The sequence below is a fragment of the Homo sapiens genome, chromosome 18 (assembly GCF_000001405.40).
Source record: "Homo sapiens chromosome 18, GRCh38.p14 Primary Assembly".
NCBI classification, from domain to species: domain Eukaryota; kingdom Metazoa; phylum Chordata; class Mammalia; order Primates; family Hominidae; genus Homo; species Homo sapiens.
Genome location: NC_000018.10, coordinates 49885391 through 49908067, shown reverse-complemented (window position 1 = coordinate 49908067; position 22677 = coordinate 49885391). Strand labels below are relative to the sequence as shown.

The following is a 22677-nucleotide window of genomic DNA, read 5'->3' as shown; positions in this document are numbered from 1 at the left end:
GACCCAGGCTTGTTCCCTGACTCAGGGGCTTAGCTACCGTGCTTTGGCTTCCTAACCCCTCCTGGCTGAGCCATGGAGCCTCCCCAAGCAGGGCAGAGATCAAAGCAGGGCCGTGGCTGCCTCAAAGCTCCCAAGTCCCATCCAGCCCCTGTTCCTCTCAGCATGAGCTGAAGGCCCAGTGGGTGCATGGCTCTGAGCAGACACAGGGAGGAGAGCCAGGCCCAGAGCCCACTCTTGCCAGCTTCACGAGCAGCCTGGCCCAGGCCGGGGACTCAGTCAGTGACACTCAAGCTGGAAGCTCTGCTGCAAGCTCAGCCTTAGCTCAGGCAGGACAGCCTTCCCTGTGTGTGGAACCCGACTCCTAGTAACCCAATAGGGCTTAACCTATGAAGAATGATGATTCAGCATTTTTCAGGGCCATTTGCCAACATGAAATGCAATGTTGTGTGTGTATTTTCCTTGGACTTGGCTCATTCCTTCCTTTCTCATTATGGTCTTCATGCCAGTGAGCAAAATGAGATGGCAGTTGATTTACAAAGAGCTCTGTCATCATGGGTTACTCTCCCAGTGCTCTGTCCCAGGCTTGTCCACAGGAACCCTGCTGGGTTGTCTTTCCTCATCCAAAGGGGTGAGCCCAGGGAAGGGCAACTAATTTTAACCTAATGGATGTAATTAAGACAGTAATTACAGGTCCAAAACAATCTCATAGTTTTATTTGGGGGTTATTTGCATCCTGTAATTATGCATACAACTGTGTGGCCATTTGAGGATAATCTTTTTAAAATGTTGATCAGATCAGGTCATTTCCTTGCTCAAAGCTTGCCTGTGGCTCTCACCCCAATTTTATGCTGCAACCTACGAGGCCTTTGGTGATTGGCTCCTCCCACCAATCACCTTCAGTTCCCCCAGCTAGCCATCCTGGCTCTCCTGATCCTCAGATATACCCAGCAGTTGCACCACTGGACATAGGCATCCACTCTGCCCTTCTCCTGGAACTTTCCTCCTTCCTTCTTTTCTGTGGTTGCCTCCTTCAGCTCATTTAGGTCTTTGCTCAGCTGTCACCTCCACAGAGCTGCCTTCCTTGAGCATCCTTTTTGAACATCCCCATCCCACGCTCACCAGCCACCAGTTTGTTTTCTTCATAATCCTCACCATTCTCTGAAAACGGAAAGCATCTTTATTTGCTTGTCTGTCTGCCCTCACCATGATGTCAGTTCCTTGAGGGCAGGCGTCTTGTTCACTGCCATGTTCTAGAGTCTGGCCCGTAGTAGGGTCTTGGGGTCTGTTAAGCAAATGCTGAGACTTTGTGTCCATCTACAGAGAGGGGTGCATGAAGTCTGGCCAGGGGATTCTGCATGGGAAGAACAAGGGTGGTATGGGCCATGTTATTTCTCTGCTCACTGGTGACCAACCAGATCCCCTCCCTACCTTGTAAAGGACCCCGACAAGTTCCAGTTTGGCCGCACCAAGATCTTCTTTCGAGCAGGCCAGGTGGCCTACCTGGAGAAGCTGCGGGCTGACAAGTTCCGGACAGCCACCATCATGATCCAGAAAACTGTCCGGGGATGGCTGCAGAAGGTGAAATATCACAGGCTGAAGGGGGCTACCTTAACCCTGCAGAGGTACTGCCGGGGACACCTGGCCCGCAGGTGAGCCAGACTGTGGCAGCTCAGGGCAGCAGATCATGGTGGGGAAGATGGGGGTCTGCCTTTCTCAGCTACTTGGCTTCTCTCTTCCTCTGTGCTGAGAGTGGTTCCTGTTGGGGCCATGTCTGCATCTTGGCTTTTCCTCGGCAGCTGGGCCTATCCCTATAATCAATGCCTTCTCACCTCAGGGGGTAGGTCTAGTTTCCACATCTCCTGGTTTCCCCAGGCTCCCTCCATCCTACCAGCATTAGAACCAGCTGGTTTTGCCACAAACCAACCATTTCCCCTTTGCCTGAACCCCAAAGTAAAAAACTAACTCCTTTTAGGAAAAGAGACCAATACAGCCTGGCACAGTTAACCTGTGCTTGGCCTCATTACTTATTCCACAGATTTCATAATGCCTCGGAGTCAGGTGATTAGGGCTGCAAAGGTCCTGGGAGGCCCCTTTTGCGAGTTACTGCACAAGCCAGGATGGAGAGAGAGTGGCTTGTCTAAGCAGGAGTGTTGACCTAGGGGTTGAGTCAGGATGCCAATCAGCCTCCCCTGCCTGCCCCCAGCTCGACCCCGAGCAGAAGAAACTACTGCAGGGTTCCTTCCTCACGGACACTGGGCTGATGAGGCACTACAGCAGCAGGAGTGTGTCAGCCAAGACAGGCTGAAGACAGCCTGCCCTCTGACCCTACCCTCGGTTGTTAGGTTTTGAGCCCAGGCCTGGTTCAAGTCCAGTGCCCTCTCCAGAAAGGAATTTCCTTAGAGAAGTGACAATAATCGCCACAAAGTCTTGTGTTTGGAGGCCAAACAGAGAGCTAGACTAGGGAATCAGATGCATTTCAGCAAACAGGTGACACATGGGCTGAGTGGGTCACTTTCTCCTTTGAGGCTTTGCTGAATGATTTCCAAGGTCTTTTTTAGCATTTCACACTGAGTCTCTAATTGAGCACTTGTTATAGGCCTGGCAGCAAACAAGACCCTTCAGAAGGGGAGGAAGTGTTAGACTGGCTTTATCTGGGAGGTGAGATGGGAAGGCAGAAAGGCAAGAGAGGAGAGGAAATGGCCACATTCCATGCATCCCGAGCAGAAAGGGTTGAGGAGATAAAGGAAACAGAGATTGGTCTGGGCCTGAGAAGGTTTAGTCATTCAGCAAACACTTACCCAGTGCCTACAGTGGGTCCAGGATGATGGAGACACAGCCCCTGGGATCTCCAAGCCTGGGGAGGTACAGAGGACAGGCAGCAATGTGAACACATGATGTAGAATGCTACTGGTGAAGTAGTTGAGGACTGCCCAGGCACAGTGAGGTAGAAGAGTGCTCAGATAAGGATCATAGAGGAAGTCAGACTCTGACTGAGTTTGAAGCTTGTGGGAAGCCTTTCGAGACCATAAGGAAAGAACTAACACTGCTTTTCTAGCCACAACGTCAAATGCCTAAGGCATTGCTACATTTGTTAGGGGTGAAGAGAGTTGGTTTCCCCTGGGTGTGTCCAGGTAGGGCCACAGAGGGAGAGGTTTGCATTTGCAGATGTCTCAGGGTTCTCTGCATCAGGGCGGTCAATACTCTCTCCCTGACACTGCCTGTTTCCTCTTGCTCCCCAGGCTGGCTGAGCACCTGCGGAGGATCAGAGCGGCTGTGGTGCTCCAGAAACATTACCGCATGCAGAGGGCCCGCCAGGCCTACCAGAGGGTCCGCAGAGCTGCCGTTGTTATCCAGGCCTTCACCCGGGCCATGTTTGTGCGGAGAACCTACCGCCAGGTGAGTAGCCACTCTGAGGGCCTCAGGGCTGCAGATTCAGAACTAAAGTGGCAACAGATGAATTACTGCCAACGTGAACCTCTGTCAAGCACTCCCAACTTTTTTCTAAATGCTTTCACATCTCTGCTCTCACCAAATCCTTTCTGAAGTCCCACAAGGTAGGAAGGGTGTGCATACTGTTGTCTTAGTCCATTAAATGTTGCTATAACAATATCTGAGGCTGGGTGATTTATGAAGAAAAGAGGTTTATTTGGCTCACAATTCTGGTGGCCAGAAAGTTCACAATTGAACATCTGCTTCTGGAGAGGGCCTCAGGCTGCTTCCACTCATGGTGGGAGGTGGAAGCCGGTGTGTGCAGAGGTCGCATGGTGAGAGAGGAAGCACAAGAGTGGCTCTTTTAACAAGCAGCTCTAATGAGAACTAACAGTGAGAAATCACCCTTGAAGAAGGGCATTTATTTGTTCATGAGGGATCTGCCTCTATGACTCAAACATCTCCTGTTAGACTCCATCTCCAACATAGGGGATCAGATTTCAACATGAGTTTTGAAGGGGCCCAGCATCCAATCATGGCAGTTTTCACACCCCTTCTGATACCTGAGTTGCTCAGAGAAGCCAGGTCACCTGCCTGAGGGCCCAGGCCAGCCAACAGCAGGGCCAGGTGACCCACCTAGGGCTCATTCACACTTGAGGGCAGGCGGTGGTATTGGGCATCATCAGGTCTAACTCCTCCACTTAACGGATCAGGAGCTTGAAGCCCAACATGGTGAGGTCAGGAGGGAGGCCCCGACCTCTTCCCTGCCAGGTTCTTGCTCTTTGTGTTGTTCCAGTGAAGCCAAAACCCTTGGGTTCAGGAGCCCCACATCAGGACACATCTGTTCAACCAGGTAACACCAACACATCTGAAGCACAGAGCTGACTTGAAACACGAATTGGAAGGAAATGTCTAAAATGGTTTTCTTTTTCATTAAATGAACATCTGTCTCTTCTATGATCACAGAAGGTGTGATTTTCTAAATAATAAAAGTAAAGCACGAAATTGATAATAATAAAAATGTGGTCAGGGTGGAGCACACCCTGGTGTAGTATGTAGAGAAACCCAGGCCATTGGGAGAAGGTTCTGTGAGTGTTCTTGGGTGATGGGTGGCGTTGGTGTGCTGCTCCCATGGAAGGGGCAGGTGATGTTTGGGAGTTTCTCAGCAGGGGCAGCATGTGCAAAGAGTGAGCACTGATGTGGCTCCCAGCTCTGTCACTCATGGCTGTGGCACTGTTCATTGCTCAGCCTGTTTGCTTGTTTACTCATTTATTCCACAAACATTTATTTTACCAGGTATTAGGGCGAGCACACTGATGATGCTTTCATATCCTGAGTGGTTTTTTAACTTGGTAGAAAAAAAAAAACAGTGAATTACACACCAAGTTTGTAATTATAAGCCATTAGCCTGCTGTGGACACTCACTGAAGTATCTCACTTCCAGCTCAGTGCCACCAGGAGGGGACCTCCACCTGGTAAATGGGTAGAGAGCAAGTGGATGATCATTAGGCCCCTACAACCTTGAGGTTTTCAGACTGTGGTTTCCTAACCCATAAAACAAAAAGTAAAACAAAGCTGAAAAGAGTTTGACAGCTGATTCCCTGTGGATATGTAGGCGCAGAACCTCGCTGAAATGTGTTATAAAACAACCACCAAAGCCTTAGATCTTAGGGGGCACATTGTCTGTGTAACTCCTAGAACCAAGGCTGCCCTGGCCTCTTCCCTCCACAGGCAGTGATGTATGCTTCCTTCACTCCTGTCCTGCAGTGCAAACCCACAAGATGTGTATCCTTGTTTCCCGCCAGGTCCTCATGGAGCACAAGGCCACCACCATCCAGAAGCACGTGCGGGGCTGGATGGCACGCAGGCACTTCCAGCGGCTGCGGGATGCAGCCATTGTCATCCAGTGTGCCTTCCGGATGCTCAAGGCCAGGCGGGAGCTGAAGGCCCTCAGGATTGAGGCCCGCTCAGCAGAGCATCTGAAACGTCTCAACGTGGGCATGGAGAACAAGGTGGTCCAGCTGCAGCGGAAGATCGATGAGCAGGTCAGTGTCTGCAGCTCCCTACCTGGGTGTCGGGGGCTTGGGTACTGGAGCATTTTGAGAGAGCCCACAGCTTCCTTGAGGAACTGCACATGCCGAAGACCCGAGGGAGCACAGACGTCCTCAGACCACAGCAGATACTAACTGTGGCAGGCAGATCAGTGACCCCTAAAGATACCCTCAGCCCTGGGATCTGTGAGTGTGTTACCTTATATGGCAAAAGGGACTTTGCAGATGCAATTAAATTAAGAACTGTAGGATGGGAAGAGTATCCTGGGTGAGCCAGGTGAGCTTGATATAACAGGGGTCCTCCTAAGAGGGAGGCTGGAGGATCAAGTTCAGAGAAGAAGTGATGACAGAATCAGAGGTGGGAGGGATGCAGGCAGCCTTGAGAAGCCAGAGAAGACGAAGACATGGACTCTCCCCTAGAGCGTCCAGAAAGAATGCAGCCGTGCCAACCCCTTCAGACTCCTGACCTCCAGAGCTGTAAGATAATGATTTATGCTATCTTGAGTCATAACTTGGTGGTAACTTGTTGCAGCAGCAATAGGAAACTGACACACTAGCCCAAGGTGCTGGTGTTTTGCCCTTGCAGGGGTGACATAGGGTAATGCAGCAGCAGCTGGTGTGCATGGAGGGCTTGCTGTGTGGGGTATGGGGCTGGCGCTTTGACTGGAGTAGCTTGTCTAATATAGCGGCCCTCCTACGGCAAGTATTACCATCCCCCTTTTTGTACAATTGAAGACACTGGAAGGGCACATGGCATCCTAAAGTCACACAGGTGGCAGTGGCAGGGCCGAGGTTTGAACCCCAGCTGTCTGGCTCCAGAGCCCATGCTCTGCATCACTTTGCCCTTCTGTCTCTCTGTCTGCCTATCTGTCTGTCTGCCTCTTTTGGAAAGAGTGTTTGCTTTGGAAATCAGAATTCAGTTCTTCTGCTTAAAAGTTGAGTGGCTGATGTGACTACTCTGAACCTCTTTTCTTATCCATAAAATGGGGCTGACAGGGCTGAAAGAAGAATAAATGGTCTAATGCATATGCAGGGCCTGGTATGCAGTAGGAGAAACTTGAAAAATGGTTAGCACTCTTATTTTTAAGCTTTGTCCTCTTTCTACCCTGGCCACCTTCCCATGTCAGCCAATCAAAGGGGTAACAAGCCATTGATTAAATATCCCTGTAGGGGGTTGGGTACCGTACAACGTAGTACAAGAGATTCGAGACAAGCACAGAACACTCAGCTTTGTCTAATGGAATAGACGAGGCTCACATGTATGCATGCACAAACCTGGACCCCCACTTTTTGGTGGCCCACATGGCCAGTCCTCCTTCCCTTCAGAAGACCTTTATTGGATGCCTGGCTGTTTCAGGTGCTTTGCTGGCCTTGCTGGACAGAGGATGGCTGTGACGTATGTCGCATGCTGTATCATAAGGGAGGAAATCGCATGCCAACAGGCTGAACAGCATTGATCCTAAGGATTTTCCAAGCACCTGCCATGTGCCAAGCTCTGCGATATGTGTTTTGTGTTCACTCTTATTTGATCTTCATACAATTTTGTGAGATCATTTTGTATATGAGGAAATGGTGGGCCAGGGACATCAAGTCCCTTGCCAAAGTCACATAAATAGAAAGTGCTGGGACCAGGATCCTACCCGAGCTCTGATCCCACAGCCATAATGGGGGCATTGCGGGTTTTTTAACCCCAAACATTACTGAAGGGTTTCAGTCCTTTCCCGTGCATGCCTACTGCTGCGTTTGGCTCCCAGAGTTGAATGGAGGCCCACTGTTACTTTGTCCATGCAGGGTGTAGAGGTGGCCACAGAACCAGGCTTCTGAGGTGCCCCAGAGGGTGCCTCCTAGGGAAGGAAAGGACATGAAGAGTGTGTGTGGCATGGAGAAACAGAATTTTAGAGTGGGTATGGCTTTGTAAGTCATTGGGATTTAATGTATCTATTCTATACTGGGCATTTTTAAAGCTTCTCATGACCCAGTAGGGCAGGAAAAAAGCATTTTACACCTAAGCCAGCTGCCCTGAACAGGAGCCCAAAAGTGGTGCAGAGATAGCAATAGAATGCCTCTGTTTCCGTGCTCTTGCAAAAGACAAGGCTTTCTGAGAAGAGACTGTCACTGGGTGTTTCTCTGTGTTAGTTCTACAGGGTGCCTTGTTTGGCTTGGCTCCTTACTGGGGAAGCAAAGCAGAGAGCCCAGGCACAGGGTGGGCACAGGGCTTGTGCCTGCCCCTGGTCAGCCTGCTGTGATACACCAGGTCAGGGAGGAGGGCACATCCACTCAGAGGGAAAAGAGTGCAAAGGAAAAGGTCTGCTGTCTGGCACTGGCCCTTTGAAAAACACAAGCACAAAGCATGCCAAGGTGGCAGTGGCTATTGTGGCTGTTGACAGGAAGAAAAGACTTGCTTAGTCAAATGTTGTGAGTTAACCTTCCAGCCAGAGTGCAGTCTCAGGGATGAGTAGGCATTGACCGCTGCACCCTGCTGGGAGCCCTGTGTACATGCTGGCTCCCCCAGGCCTTGCTTTCCAGCCTTGGGGCTCTGCATTGGCATTGCTGATTTCTAAAGTTAACTTGAGAGGATAAAAATAAATCTAGCATTTTACAATCCACGTGCTTGAAAAATCAAAGAAAAGCAGATTTAAATGGCCTATTTAAAAAAAAAATAAAAAAAGCTTTTTGCCTTAAGCTTCCTGCTTGGCAAACATCTGTGAGTGGTGGCAGGTGTTAGCTACCCTGGGCAGGATGCCCTGTGTGTAGAGGGTGATCAGAAAAGACGGGAGGAGTGGATAAGCTCTTGCTTTCTTGTGCCCTTGCCTGCACTACCTGACTAGGCACGCTGTGCTCTTCTCACGTATTAACTCATTTAATCCCCACCAGAACCCTAGGAGATAAACATTAATATTATTCCCATTTTAAGGATGAAGAAACTGAGGCACACAGAGGTTAAGTAGCTTGACTGAGGTCACACAGCTAGTAAGTAGCATGGCTGGGATTGAAACCTGTCAGGCTGGTTTCAGGGTATGTTCTGCCACCTCTGACCAAGCTATAAGATATTTAGCTATTGGGAGACTCTTGGAACATGTCAGGAGAACTCCTCAGTCCAAGGGAGACTCTTAGCCTTAGTTTGGGTTCATGCTCATACAGATAGCATTGTCCTTGCTTGGGACCGGCTGGCATTTAAAGTGGGGAGTGTGACCCAGTGTCAAATAACATGCTTGACACTCTGTTACAAGAGGAAGCATTGACATAATCTCCATTAGAGCTCTATATAGGGGCTTGTTTCATTGCAATCTCTTAGCAGATGGGGCCAGCTGTTTGCAAGTGAATTTTTTTTTTCCTATAATTCCTGGAGACAACTTAGGCAGTGGTCCTCTGGTCACACAAGGTTTCTAAGCCAGAAGGGGAGGATCTGCGAACACCAAGGACACCACAGGTGAAGGTGTCCCAAGGTATTTGTGAGAACAGCATAGGGAGTAGACAGAGTGCCCACTGGACAGAGGCCTGGGTTCTGTCTCAGTTGTATTCACAACCAGAGCTGATAGCTTGGAAATGATTGGGGCTTTAGTTCTTCCAAGGGGATTCGCCTGAGATCTCTAAGGTAACATCTAGCTCAAAAATTCACTGATAACCATGATCTGGCTAGAGTAGGGTTCCTATCCCCAGACTGTGCTCTAGAATCCCCTGGGGAGCTTTTTTCTAAAAATGTATCCTCACTGCCAAGAAGTCAGTAAGGGAGGAAACAAAGATAAAACCAGGGTAAGGCTAGCACCCAACATTCATATCCTAAGGCCTTGTACACCCACCTGGAAAGAAAAGATGCAAATTTGGCACCAAGTTTCTATGCAAACAGTAACAGGAAGAAAACTGAGTGGCTTGAGAGTTCTTAATAGAAAAGAACCATGCAGTTCAAGAGGATTTGGAGCTGTCCGTGGTGCTGACTTGTTTTTCCTGTGGGCTTTCATAATCTGTGACGTGACAAGCCACATCCTTCACCATATCCTACGGTGATATATACAATGCTGGTTCTTGAGACCATTTCTTGCAGTGTCCCTGGGATAGGCTGTGGTATGACGTCATTCAGTAAAACGATGTAGTCCGTGAACTCGGCTCTCTGCCAGCCTAACTTTAGTCAAGCACACATTTAGAGTTGGCCAGTTTAACTTACAATTTATTTATAATGAGAGTAAAGTTCCTTAGACACTTATGAATATAAGGTTATCCTTAAATATATTTTATATGAGAAATATGACACAAATATATGGAGTCAGTAGCCTTTTAAATCAATTTGATTCCATATACTTAGTAGTCACTTTGTAAATATGTTAAATTCGTTATATGTAATCATGCATATATGTCATATACAGTCATGCATCTGTTAATGACAGGGGTACCTTATGAGAAATGCATCGTTAGGTGAGTTTGTAGTTGTGTGAACATCATAGATTTCGCTTACACAAACCTAGATGGTGTAGCCTGCTACACACCTAGGCTATGTGGCATAGCCTATTGTTCCTAGGCTACAAACCTGTACAGCATGTTACTGTACTGAATATCATAGGCAGGTGTAACACAATGATATTTGTGTATCTAAACGTATCTAAACATAGAGAAGGGATAATAAAAATATGGTGTAAAAGATGGCACACCCGTATAGGGCACTTACCATGAATGGGGCTTGCAGGCCTGGAAGATGTGTAGGGTGAGTGAATGTGAAGGTCCAGGACATTACTTTCCACTCCTGTAGACTTTATAAACTGTCCACTCCTATCGACTTTATAAACTGTCCACTCCTGTAGACTTTATAAGCCGTACACTTAGGCTACACTAAGCTTACTAGAAAATTGCTTTTCTTCAATAATTAACCTTGGAGTACTGTAATATTTTTACTTTATAAATAATACTTTTAACTTGTGGCTTCTTTGTAATAAGGCTTAGCTTAAAACACAAACATGTACAACTCTACAAAAATTTTTTATTTCTTGATATCCTTATTCTGTAAGCTTTTTTCTATTTTTAAAATTTATTTTTGGGGTATCCCATTCTTCATGATGTGCTTATTTCACATTGCATATCTATCAAAACATTTTATATACCCCATACATATACACACCTACTATGTACCCAGGAAAATTAAAAATTAAGTTTAAAAATTTTTTTTTACTTTTTTTTGTTAAAAACTAAGACACGGATACATTCATTAGCCTAGACACACACAAGGTCAGGATCGTCAGTATCACTGCCTTCCACCTCCATATCTTGTTCCACTGGAAGGTCTTCAGGGCAGTAACATGGCAGGGAGGGTTTCTGGGGTCTCCGAGGGTGTGGGCACCCCATGCCCTGCCCTCTGCCAGGCTTGGCTGCATGGCTGTGACACCTGCAGGTGCAAGGACGAGCCTTCTGGGGCCTGTCCTTCTGAAGTCAGATGTCCAGAACAGAAAATGCACCGCCTCCACAAGCCCCCAGTGACAATATCTGGATGCCCATGAAAAGACATAGGAGCTCCCCACCCACACCCCAGACAGCCAGAGACTCGGGCAACTCTCCAGGGTTCTCCATAGAGAACTTGAACAAGGAAGATAGCTGATGTTTACTGAGCCCCTAGCAAAGTACTTTATCTCCCTAATCTTGATAACCACCCTCTGAGGCAGGAGTTACTATTATATTCCTGTTTTACACATGAGGACACTGGGGCACAGAAAGGTTGGTTGATTAGGTTGGATGTACACAGCTGATCAAGGATAGAGCTGGGATCTGAGCACATGTCTGTCCAGCTCCAGCCACTCAACTCCCTGACATCCCTGAGCCAGGTCTCAGGCGGTGTCAAGATCAATGCAGCTGGGCCTCCTGGATACATCATACTTCGCATTAGAGTCCTGAGGTGCCATCTTTGTCAATAGCAGGATAGGATGTGCCTCCTGTTACCATGCGTGCCTCTCTTCATACTCCAACAAGCTCTACCTAGAGACCTCCTGCCTAGTTATCCTTCCACTCCTAGTGATTTGACCCAGGCTGTGCCATCTAGAGAGAGCAGCTGGGCCAAACCTCATGTCCAGCCCAGAGCAGAGATGAAGTCAGAGGGTGGCTACTCCAGCATGTGTTCCCTCCCTGTGCCCTACTCCTCTGTGCAGAGACCCTCAGCCTCCAGTGGAGACCCAGACTGGAGTGGATAATACAGACGTGCATTCGGTGTTCAAATAGAATCTGCTTGATTGGATTTCTTCTTTGTGATGCCTTAGATCAAGGCTGCAGGCAGACCAGGCTTGAAGGTGTGTCAGGTTGTAACTGGGAGGTTCCCACAGAGTGCTGGGGAGCGGGTAGCATGTCTCATTCTGTTGTGTTGGTGCAGGAAATGGACTGGTGGCTTGTGCATTGCCGTACTGGTCACAACCACAAGGCCCCACAGCATCTGTGGCATTTTACAGGGTCCAAGGGCTTTTCTTTTGCTGCTCTTCACTGTTTTCTGTGAAGTTTAATTTCTTATGTGAATTAGTCATTGATTCCTGATGCTCCAGCTTATCGGTGATTTGGCCGCTAGCTCTGTTCTGCCTGGCGCTCCTACAGACCAGAGCAATGAAGAATAATCAATGACCATTGTTGCCTGCTTGATGATTTGGAGAGCCCTATTTCTTCCTCTCCACTTTCCTCACTGACCACTCTTAGCTAATGCCCTCAACTCTTGCGGTGCTGATTTCTTCCCATAATTTGCAGTAGCACTTGATACCAGCAATAGCTTCTTAGGGCTCTGGGCCCATGGGGGCTGTTTCACACCTGTGTGTTGCCTGAGTGGGCTGGGATTGAGTATCCCATCTGCAGGAGCATGGTTTGGGCAGGGTGGGTCAGGGCATCAGTTCCCTGAGTCTTAGAGTCTTATGGGGCAAGCCATGGCTGACAGGGGTGAGAGAGATTCCAAGACCCCATGGAGGGCCTCCTTGGAAGAGAGGATGCTGAAGGGGTCCTTTGTCTCAAAGCCAGCGATTAGATTGCAACTCTTTGTGCTGGCAAGTCCACAGGCAGGAGGGCTCTGTATGAAAGAGCAAAGAAACCTAAAAAGTGAAGGCTGCAAACCCAGAGAGCCAGCTTCTTTGTTTCTGCAACTTAAAAATAAGGTATAGGATCCACCCAGCCATAAAGCCACCTGCTACCAGGCAGCTTCCAGCTCTGCACATGCTCACGAAAGCTCCTTGAGCTCTTTGAATGTCAGTGTTGCTGTTCTTTGTTTTCCTCTATTTCTGTAAGTTTACATTAGTGTTTTGTTAGGGAGATGCCAGGCAAGCACTTGAGCATGCAATGATTGTGAGACTTAATCCTACCTTGGAAGTTCCTTTTTTGATTGCCTTCATGCTTTTTCCCTGGTAAAATAACCTTTTCTTCCCCCACTTCTTCTCCCTTCTCCTTGTTTGCTGATGTTCTCCACAGAACAAAGAGTTCAAGACACTTTCAGAGCAGTTGTCCGTGACCACCTCAACATACACCATGGAGGTAGAGCGGCTGAAGAAGGAGCTGGTGCACTACCAGCAGAGCCCAGGTGAGGACACCAGCCTCAGGCTGCAGGAGGAGGTGGAGAGCCTGCGCACAGAGCTGCAGAGGGCCCACTCGGAGCGCAAGATCTTGGAGGACGCCCACAGCAGGGAGAAAGATGAGCTGAGGAAGGTATGCTCAGGCCAGAGGGGCAGGCGCTGGCAAGCAGAGTGGGTGGGCACACGGAGCCACCTCTCAGAGAGCACTGCTGCTTCAAGTGGTAAAATTGCCATGGTCTTGGGCTCATGTGCACAGACTGACCATTCATCTGTGTCTAGACAGAAAGTGGCATGCTTTGGGGAAACCCACACAAGCATGACTGCGCTTCTGCTGTTAGCTGGACACTATGGCATCCCCTGGGAGGGGCACATGGTGTCTGCCTGTGAGCATTGTTTTTATGGTCTAGAATTAGGCCCAGGGCTGGCTCTGTGGCCCGCATCCTTGTTGGCAAGAAAGCCGTGACAGAGGCTGGGGCTGATCTTGATGCTGCCTGCAGGGGAGGGCAGCTTCTGGGCACCCTTGCCCATGATGCAGCACTGTGCTTTGGTGGAGGTGCCTCACCTTTGAACACTTAAAGTCTCAGCCTGTCACACCCACCCTGGTGGGCTTATTTCTTACACCATGAAATAGAACTTCCTGAGCTTTGCCCCAAACCTGAGCATCAGGGCATAGAGATTCCCTGCTCCACTGCCAAGATAACTGTTCCAGCCAGGGAAGTCCCAAGGGCCCCTGGAGACCCCCCCACAGACTTGGGTCATTGCTGTTCTGCCTCCCACCACCGCCCCCCCTCCCACCACCATCTCTACAAGCCACAAGGGAAATAGCATGTTGCCCGCTTTTTCAGTGTTTGTCCATCAATGGGGAGTTGCAGTGGATGGGGATCTAAGAGGGAGAGATCCAGTGTTCAGGGTGTTGGAGTAACAACTTCAAAATTGGGGCAGGCTGGATGCTGCTGCAGGAAGGGCCCTGCGGTAGACCTTGGAGTCCCCAGATTCCCATCCCCACTCTGCCATTCCCAAGCATGTGCAGAAAGCCTCACTGGCCTTAGTTCCCTCATCTGTGTGTATATTTATAAAAGTTGGTTCAGATCATCTCCAAGGCCCCTTCTAGACTTGCACCTGGCTGCCACCATGAGATTGTGTTTGGCTTCTGGAAGGAGCAGAGGCCCTTGGCCCTACGTGGGAGTCCTTCTCTCTTCTATTTCCCACTGCCTTTTCCTGGCCTGAGCCTTCACATGCAGCTGAGGAACACACAGACATCCGTGGAGGTTATAGAGCCTACAGTGCCAGCATGTGCTGGGCTTGCATAGATCTTCTTCCCACCTCGGGCCTCAGCACCATCAGCTCCTGCCTTCACCCAGACCCCAGGGATCTCCAGGGGCCAGAGGTGGGATCCAGGTGTGGAGATTAAGGGAAGAAGAAAGTAAGACGCAGGCTTCCCATAAAAGGCCACACTCCTGATGTGCTGCTTTGAGGGCCCTCTGCCCACAGGACCCTCTGCCCAGATAAGTCACCTGCCAGCCTGCCCACCATGAGACATGAAGTGGATTCATTCTTTGGGAGAAAGCACGTGGTGCTTGGAAACTCCTGTTAAATGTGTCTACAAGTCTTGTAACCTACAAATCATGGAATACCACACTTGTGGTTTGTCTACCCTTGGGAGCAGATGAATGGGATGGTGACCTTTCTACATGAATAAAAACCAGAAGGTGAGGTCCAAAGCCAGAAAGGATCAAGAATAGAACTGGAAACTCCTGAGACTAGTGACCCTGGGAGAAAAAACATTCCCTGCATGTGTGTCCCAGTCAGATGAGACATCTGCAAAGTCTGTTTACCCAGCAGATCCACAAAATCAGGTCTCACCTATCTCTGTCCCAACAGATAGCACTTGACTCATCAGCTTCCCAGCCCCGCGTCCCTGCTTCCTGCTAAATGCTACAACTTGGGGACTTCAGCACTCTAAACACCCAAGTCTCCATCAAAGGGAGTGCATAAGAGTTTATAATATGAAAATCTTCATTGGAGGAGCAAAACAGAGAAGCAGACTCCCTCCTCCTCTCCTTAAGAAATGTTGCTACTCTTCCCTAGCAATGATATGCTGACCTAGGTCTTAAAGAAAATTAGAGCTTGGAATTGGTAACAAAAAATTAAGGACGCTGCAAGGAGGGGAACGCTAGGAGCAGAGTAGTGCAAAAGCCCCTTCCCTACCCCAAATGTAAGCAAATTCCAACTTAGAAACACTCAGAAACCAACAGGAGATGACTCATGAAGTGGCATGTCCACCTCTTTCCTGGAAAAGAAAAAGTGGAAGCAAACATTCTTTAGAATCTTCAGAATCTTTTTGTTGTGGTGGTTGGAGGTAGGTAGATGAGCTGGCTGGCTTTTTTTTGTTTTGTCTTCTGTGCCTCCTCAGGGTATAATATTTATCAAAGGCACTGTGTCAATTTCAATAAATGCTGAGTAATCAGACAATTGGTTTCCTCCAAGGCTTGAGCAGGGGCCTGCTCTGCTTTGAGCGAGATTGATGAGACCAGCCAAGCACAGTGAGGGGGCCGACTGCTAGTAGATGTTTAATGAGTTTGATATTTCCATCAGCAAAGGCAGCGAGTGTCGTATTGGAACTGCTATGCTGGAAAACTCTGGGCTTGCCATCTCTGACGATATTAATTGGTGGGCCACGTGGCTGCCCTGCCTTGGCCTGTGGGAGGCCAAGTCTCCCCGAGGGCAGGAATTCATCTCTCTGTCCACAGAGTCCAGAGCAGCTCTGTCGCATAGGTTAGATGACATCCTTTTCTACTAAAGGTATCTGTTGTTTTGGCGCTTCCACGGGGTAGTCCACACCCAGGCCCTTAGCCTCCTTCCCTTTTAGCCTGTGCATTGTGTACATTTCGTTCTTTTTGAAAGCTTCAGCGATCCCTATGCCGGCTGCTTTTGTACAGCTGTGCTGTTTTGCATGGCTGCTCTGTTTGGTGAAAGAGAGGTGGCCCCCAGGGCTGCCCTAGGCACAGAGGTGACAGCTCATTATTCAGAATCTGCTCTGAAGGCTGCTCAATGGGACCAGAGCAAGGCTTACTTGGTGCAGGGCTGTGGTGGGTGAGGAGGAACCACCCACAGCCAGGTGCCTGGCTCTCAGAGGGGGTCCCTGGTCCTTGTGAGAGATGACTAGCAGGCCCCCAGGCACTGAACATTCGGACTAGTGGGGCTGGGTTGTGCATTGTATCAAGACATCAGTCATAGAACCACTAGCCACTAGTTGATTGCCTTGGGTAGTTCAAGTTATAAAGGTTTTGATTTCTCCAAATAGAGGTAGAGAGATCTGGCTTGGGGAATGGGGGCTCTCATAGCAGAGTGTGTTGAGCCTTCTCCCCAAAGGTGTGGAGCAGAGCTACTTTGACCAGCCAAGAGGGGGTTGTGCTCTCAGCAGCACCAGGACTCATGGTTCATGTGGAGGCTGAGGATTATTAGGAAGGGGACACTGACCCATCTCTGGAAGGACGTTGTCTTGCTGCAGAAAGCACAGAAGCTCATGGTCCTTCATTCAGCAGGTGTTTGAATGCCTGTATGTGTTAGACCCTGTTCTACACACTGGGGCAAAAGGTGAATGGTGTTTGAAAAAACCCTTCTCGTTCTTAAGGAGCTTAAATGTGTGGGGATGGGGGAAGAAAGTACAGAGAGGAATCTAACGTGAATTACCCCCCAAGGGCTACAAACAACAATGAAGCAGAGTAAAGGGGATGGAGGGTGACCTGTGGGGGCCTGAGGGGTATGATTTCACTTTTGATGGCCACAGAAGGTCTTTCTGAGAAGACATCTGAGTAAGGGGAGAAGATAAGCCAAGGCGATTTGGGGATAACAGGTGACAGGTGTGGCACACGTGCACAGGCCTTGGGGCATGAGTAGGCTGGGTGGGTGTGAGGACCAATGAGGTGCTCACTGGGCTCAGGTGGAGTAAGTGAGGAGGCAAACAGCAGGAGCACAGTGCGGCCAGGTCAGGAAGGATCTTCTGACTTCAAGCGCGGCCTTGACCCATGAAACCTCCAGAGAGATGAGCAACTCTGTCCTAGGCACTTCAGCTTCTGTGAGCTTAGGGGTGAGAGAGGAATTAAAACACATCTGCAGGACCATTTTGAAGATATTTTAGCCATTGTTTCAAAGTTGTCTTACTATCCAAGGGATGTTGATTTTCAACTTTTGCTTTAATCACTACTTTAAAAAACAAATTTATACTATGCTTACTTAGAAGAACATTCTCAGAAAATGGTCAAATAAACACTTCAAGATTTTGCAGAATTAAAGGTATTGTCCCTACCTAGGGCTGTGCCTGTAAATGTGGTAACTGCACAGCATCAAGGACAGATGGCAGAGGAACCTTTTCTGATTGGCATTGTCCAACCAGTTTTCCCATGTTTGCTACTAGAAACCTTGCGCTGGGTCTTCTTATAGTACTAATATCCCTCTTGAAAACATAAGACAAAACAAAGCCCCTAGCTACATTTGTATCCCCAAAGACAAACTAGTAAAGACAGTTCTTTAGCATGTTGCTGGGGCATTTACTTAACTTAATATAGGTACTGTATTAGCCTCATAGATACAGGATTTTCCTCCAGTGTTGATTCTGATAAGCTGTCCCAAATAAGCTTTTAGAAGAAACACTGAGTAATGTTGCCTGCAAGAGTTAAGACTAACCACTCCCCCAGTCCAAAAAAAGGAGCTGCTGAATGGTGTTGAATGAGTCCTGAAACCTAAGGTGTTATTTATCATGCTCAGGGGATGCAGCCACCTGTTTTATGTTGTTAAAGCATCTCCCACTGCACCCTGCAGCCCTGACACCACAAAGTGGGGGCCATTTGGCTGCAGAAGTTTGTTACCTGCTGTGTCTGCCAACAGCTGTGTTAGCTGGCTGGGAAGACTGGGGTTGGCTGGTACCTGGAGAAATATGATCAAGGAAGCATTCTCTCACCCACCTGGGGTGTGGAGCTGAGTGTGGGATTGGTCCTTTCCTGCTGTTCATGAAAGATCAGGAACATGGGCCTACCTCCAAAATTGTTTAGGCAAGCAAGAAAAGTAAATCCCCCTGAGGCCACTTTAATGTATGGCTTAGAATAATAAAGCCAAGTCAGAGACCTGCATTCATGAATCAAAGAGGGAGACAGAGGGAAGCAACAAGCCTCAAAACAATAGGAGGTGTAGGTGGCATACATGCTGTTAACCATGGCACTCCCAGACTGTAGCCTTGGCTCAGGTTTTAGATCATAGGTTGTTGCAATGAAGTCACATGTTCTTAGGTGGCATTCATAGGACTGGAGATTTCAGGACCCACTTGGTGATGATGTCATGCGCTCTGTGCTGGTCAGATGGCATGTTCCATTTCAGAGGGATATTGACTGTGTGTAGGATGCTCAAAGGATGGCGAGGGGTCTTGGTCTTCTCAGGTGACCTACTGCTCTGTGAGCCATCTAGATATTAGGAGAATGTTAAGGAGAAGCAAAGTTTTGCTCCATGGTAAGGTCTGGTTACTTCACAGCCTGCTGTAAAACCTACCAGTAGTTGACTGATTCAGAGGGTACAGCCTTGTTCCTGGCAGGATGGGGCAAGACCCCTGCCTTCCTAACTGTGACATAGATCATGCTTCATTGCACCACCCTAGGCTTTATTCTGTAGAAGTACATACCATGTGGTTTCTCCTGTTGGGTTGTTTTCAGTTTGATTTTACTTGTATGTCTAGAAAAGTGAAATCTATTTTGATAATTTGCCAACCTAATTTAAAGGTGCTCCTGAAGTCATTGAGTGAACTGCCTCCAGCAATAGCAAATTAGATGCATTTGAAGAGTGTTTTCCTACATTGTATGTGCTGCCTAAATTGAATTATTTGATTAAACAAGCTCATGTATTCTAGATATTTTGGTCAACTATAAACACATTTATTTAAAAAAACAATTTTAAAGGGAGCCCTTAGTTGTGACTGAGGGAATGCAGGCTCCTTAACTTGGTCTGCAGGGCCCTTCTATTCATTTGATAAGCTTTCAGGTGCTGGCGGTGGCCTGGGTTCTGAGGGTGTGATAGTCTGGCGATATAATCCCTAGGTCCACGTTGAGGACTCTGGTCCAGGCTGAGCAGGCAGGTGTATGAGGAAGCATTGCTGTCCCACAGGCTCTGGAGGGATGTGCAGGCCCTGTCAGAGCAGGACACCAAGCGTGGGGGCAACCCCACCACCCCGTGTGGTACAGGAATGTTTCCCAGGAGAGTGCCGGTCAAGAGCTAATAATGAGAAGAAAGTAACCAGTAAAGAATGGGAACGACAGAGCCTGTCAGAAGGAACAGTGAAACATTCAGGCAGATCCTGGAGGGCGGGAAGAGGCTGGGGAGAGGAGCTGGGCCCACCCAGGTCGAGTTAGGAGAATAAGAGGAGTTCAGTGTTTCCTGAGGACAAAGGAAGAGAAGCCATTCACAAGCTGATTCTTCCTCCCTCTACCTACCCAGCCTTGACTTTTCTCAGTGCCCGTGCTGCAACCACACGTTTTGGCAACGTAGAACTCTTCACATTCCCAAACCCGTGCCCTTCCTCCTCCCAGACCTTTAGGCACTTGTTCTTCCCACCTAGAATGGCCCTCAGCTGCCTGAGACATCCCACTTGCAGGCCTAATCCAGATGACCCCCACCTCTTGTGAAGCCTTCATGGACCCTGAGGCTACCTTCTTTTCCTTCTGAATCACCTTATTGTAGTGATTCTCAATCGGGGTGATTTTGCCATTAGGGGACGTATGGCAGTGCCTGGAGACATTCTGGTTTTCACAAATTGAAGGTGAGAGGAGGGTGTGTTGTATTAGCATCTAGTGGGTAGAAGCCAGGGATGCTGCTGAACACCCAGTAATGCACAGGAGAGTCCCTTACTCCCCCAAGAAAGAATTGTCCAGCCCAGAATGTTGACAGTGTCAAGGCTGAAAAACTTTGCTTTATAGGAAGCTGCTACAGCCCTTATTGATATCATTACTATGTATGCACCTGTCCCTCATCCCTGCCAGGCTGGACACTCTCTGAGGGCAACTACTATATTAGACTGTTCTTGCGTTACTATAAAGAAACACCTGGGCTGGGTGTGGTGGCTCATGTCTGTAATCCCAGCACTTTGGGAGGCTGAGGTGGGTGGATCACAAGGTCAGGAGTTCCAGACTAGCTTGGCCAATATGATGAAACACGTCTCTACTAAAAATACAACAAAAAAAAAATTAGCCGGGCTTGGTGGTGCATGCCTGTAATCGCAGCTACTCAGGAGGCTGAGGCAGGAGAATTGCTTGAACTCGGGAGGCAGAGGTTGCTGTGAGCTGAGATCGCGCCACTGCAATCCAGTCTGGGTGACAGAGGGAGACTCCATCTCAAAAAACAAAAGAAACACCTGTGGCTGCATAATTTATAAGTAAAAATGTCTAATTGACTCACAGTTCTATAGTCTGTACAGGAAGTGTAGTGCTGGCATCTGTCCTGATGAGGGCCTCAGGGAGCTTCCAGCCATGGCAAAAGTTGAAGGGGGAGCAGGCATCACATGGCGATAGTGGGAGCAAGAGAGAGCGGGGAGGTGCCACATGTTTTTAAACAACCAGATCTCACGTGAACTCAGTGAGAACTTATCCCTCACTGAGTTCACGCTAGGGCAATGAAAACGTTGCTTCCCCTTAACATCCTCCTAATATCTAGATGGCTCACAGAGCAGTAGGTCACCTGAGAAGATCAAGACCCCTTGCCATCCTTTGAGCATCCTACACACAGTCAATATCCCTCTGAAATGGAACGTGCCATCTGACCAGCACAGAGTGCATGACATCATCACCAAGTGGGTCCTGAAATCTCCAGTCCTATGAATGCCACCTAAGAACATGTGACTTCATTGCAACAACCTATGATCTAAAACCTGAGCCAAGACTACAGTCTGAGAGTGCTGTGGTTAACAGCATGTATGCCACCTACACCTTCTATTGTGAACTCAGTGAGGGATGAGTTCACCAAGGGGATGGTGCTACAGCATTCATGAGGGATCCACCCCCATGACCCAGTCACCTCTCACCAGGCCCCACCTCCAACATTAGGAATCACATTTCAACACGAGATTTGGAGGAAATGAACGTCCAAACCATATCAACTACCATGAGTCAGTCTATCTCATTTGGTATCCCCCAGCCCTGGCAAGGCTCCTGGTATAGAGGTGTATCAGGAAATGTGTGATGGATGAGTGACAGCCTTGCCCTGTGTCATACTAGGGGCCAGAACTAGGCTTGGTGAGTGGGTGCCTCTACGGATAAAACGTCGTCACTCTCGGTCGGTGCTTCTTCTTCTGTACCTTGCCCTCAACACCAGGTCACATTTTAGCCTCTGAAGACATACAACATCTGTTGCATTAATTATTATAGGCAATAAATATTATAGGCAATAAATGTTATTTGGCAAAATAAATTGCCAAAGAATAATAACTTGGTATAATTAGTTTGATGCATGTATATTTTTATCACCTTTATCTGATTTGACCTCCTGTTGGGCAGAAAGCCAACCCCTTTGCCTGACTCTCCATACCGAGAGTCCCTGACTGTGCTTATCATTTACTTGTGGGGTGAGGAGTTCTGCTGGATATAAAGACATAAGACCAGCAGCTCTCAACCTCTAGAGCCTCAGAATTACCTGGACAACTTTTGAAAACATGCTTGTCAGAGCCTCCTTCTTGTAACTCATGGAAGCCCATCTACAGATAAACGGATGAGACAAACTGAGTCTGCTTGAATTGAAGGGAAAGAAAGATTGAAAAACTCCTTAAATTTGAAGGGGTTCTAGACTGTTAAAAGTGTTGGTCAGGTGCCGGTGGCTCATATCTGTAAACCCAGCTACTTTGGGAGGCCAAGGTGGGCAAATCACTTGAGCCCAAGAGTTCAAGACCAACCTGGCCAACATGGCAAAACCCCGTCTATACTAAAAATACAAAAATTAGCCGGGCATGTTGGCAGGCACCTGTAGTCCTAGCTACTCAGGAGGCTGAGGTGGGAGGATCACCAGAGCCTGGGGAGGTCGAGGCTGCAGTGAACCGAGATCTCACCACAGCACTCCAGCTTGGGTAACAGGGTGAGACCTTGTCTCAAAAAAAAGGGTGTTAACAAAGTGCTTGGATCTTTTTGCAAGCCCTTAATAGTATTGTATTGTGTATCCTACTTTTCTCTATGGGCCCTTAAAGGACAAACCTAATGTAAGGCCACTACAGACCCATCAGCAGCTCCCCAGAGTAGCTGAGGCACCTTTAAGTGAGAGTCGCTGCCTTCTGAGTTCCTGGGGTGGGGAGAGCCAGTGACCCCAATCCTTAGCTCCAGTGTGTTGCCATTTTTTCCTGCCCCTTTCTACCTGATGCCGAGGGTGGGGCAGCTCCTCCCTTATTAACTCACCTCTTGGTGCCTTGAGCTTAATTTACAGCCAGGAGAGGAAGGAAAGTTGGCATTTAAGCATTGTAACCAGTTGAAATTCAAACCTCATGCATTTGGAGGAAATGAACGTCCAAACCATATCAATTTAGGCTTCTGCTGGTTTAGTCCATATCCCTAGGGCCACCTCTCTGGGTTTTAATGCCATGAAGTCTAGAAGAGTTTGAAAGGTGCCTGTCTGATGGGGGTGCAGGTGGGTACTCAGGGGTCTGTATGGTCATCTCTCCTCTG

At 48.4% G+C, this 22677-nt stretch overlaps 1 protein-coding gene across 1 annotated transcript in view, besides 3 other annotated features; it reads left to right on the top strand.

The window, feature by feature from the left end:
- MYO5B (myosin VB) overlaps positions 1-22677 on the top strand; it is a 372359-nt gene that overhangs the window by 287080 nt on the left and 62602 nt on the right. The window contains exons 19-22 of the mRNA NM_001080467.3: positions 1438-1649; positions 3240-3396; positions 5235-5474; positions 12894-13127. Of these exons, the coding sequence (NP_001073936.1) occupies positions 1438-1649; positions 3240-3396; positions 5235-5474; positions 12894-13127 (843 nt within the window). The remainder of the gene's footprint in view (positions 1-1437; positions 1650-3239; positions 3397-5234; positions 5475-12893; positions 13128-22677) is intronic.
- Positions 2817-3317: an enhancer, noted in NCBI's record as "H3K4me1 hESC enhancer chr18:47431121-47431621 (GRCh37/hg19 assembly coordinates)". NCBI's record gives its function as "activates a minimal SCP1, AML or CMV promoter by ChIP-STARR-seq in naive and primed H9 embryonic stem cells {active_cell/tissue: H9 hESC(naive and primed)}" and the evidence as "EXISTENCE:reporter gene assay evidence [ECO:0000049][PMID:30033119]".
- Positions 3318-3818: an enhancer, noted in NCBI's record as "H3K4me1 hESC enhancer chr18:47430620-47431120 (GRCh37/hg19 assembly coordinates)". NCBI's record gives its function as "activates a minimal SCP1, AML or CMV promoter by ChIP-STARR-seq in primed H9 embryonic stem cells {active_cell/tissue: H9 hESC(primed)}" and the evidence as "EXISTENCE:reporter gene assay evidence [ECO:0000049][PMID:30033119]".
- Positions 9295-9589: a silencer, noted in NCBI's record as "tiled region #7262; HepG2 Repressive non-DNase unmatched - State 10:DNaseD, and K562 Repressive DNase unmatched - State 9:DNaseU". NCBI's record gives its function as "represses a minimal TATA promoter and a strong SV40 promoter by Sharpr-MPRA in HepG2 and K562 cells {active_cell/tissue: HepG2 | K562}" and the evidence as "EXISTENCE:reporter gene assay evidence [ECO:0000049][PMID:27701403]".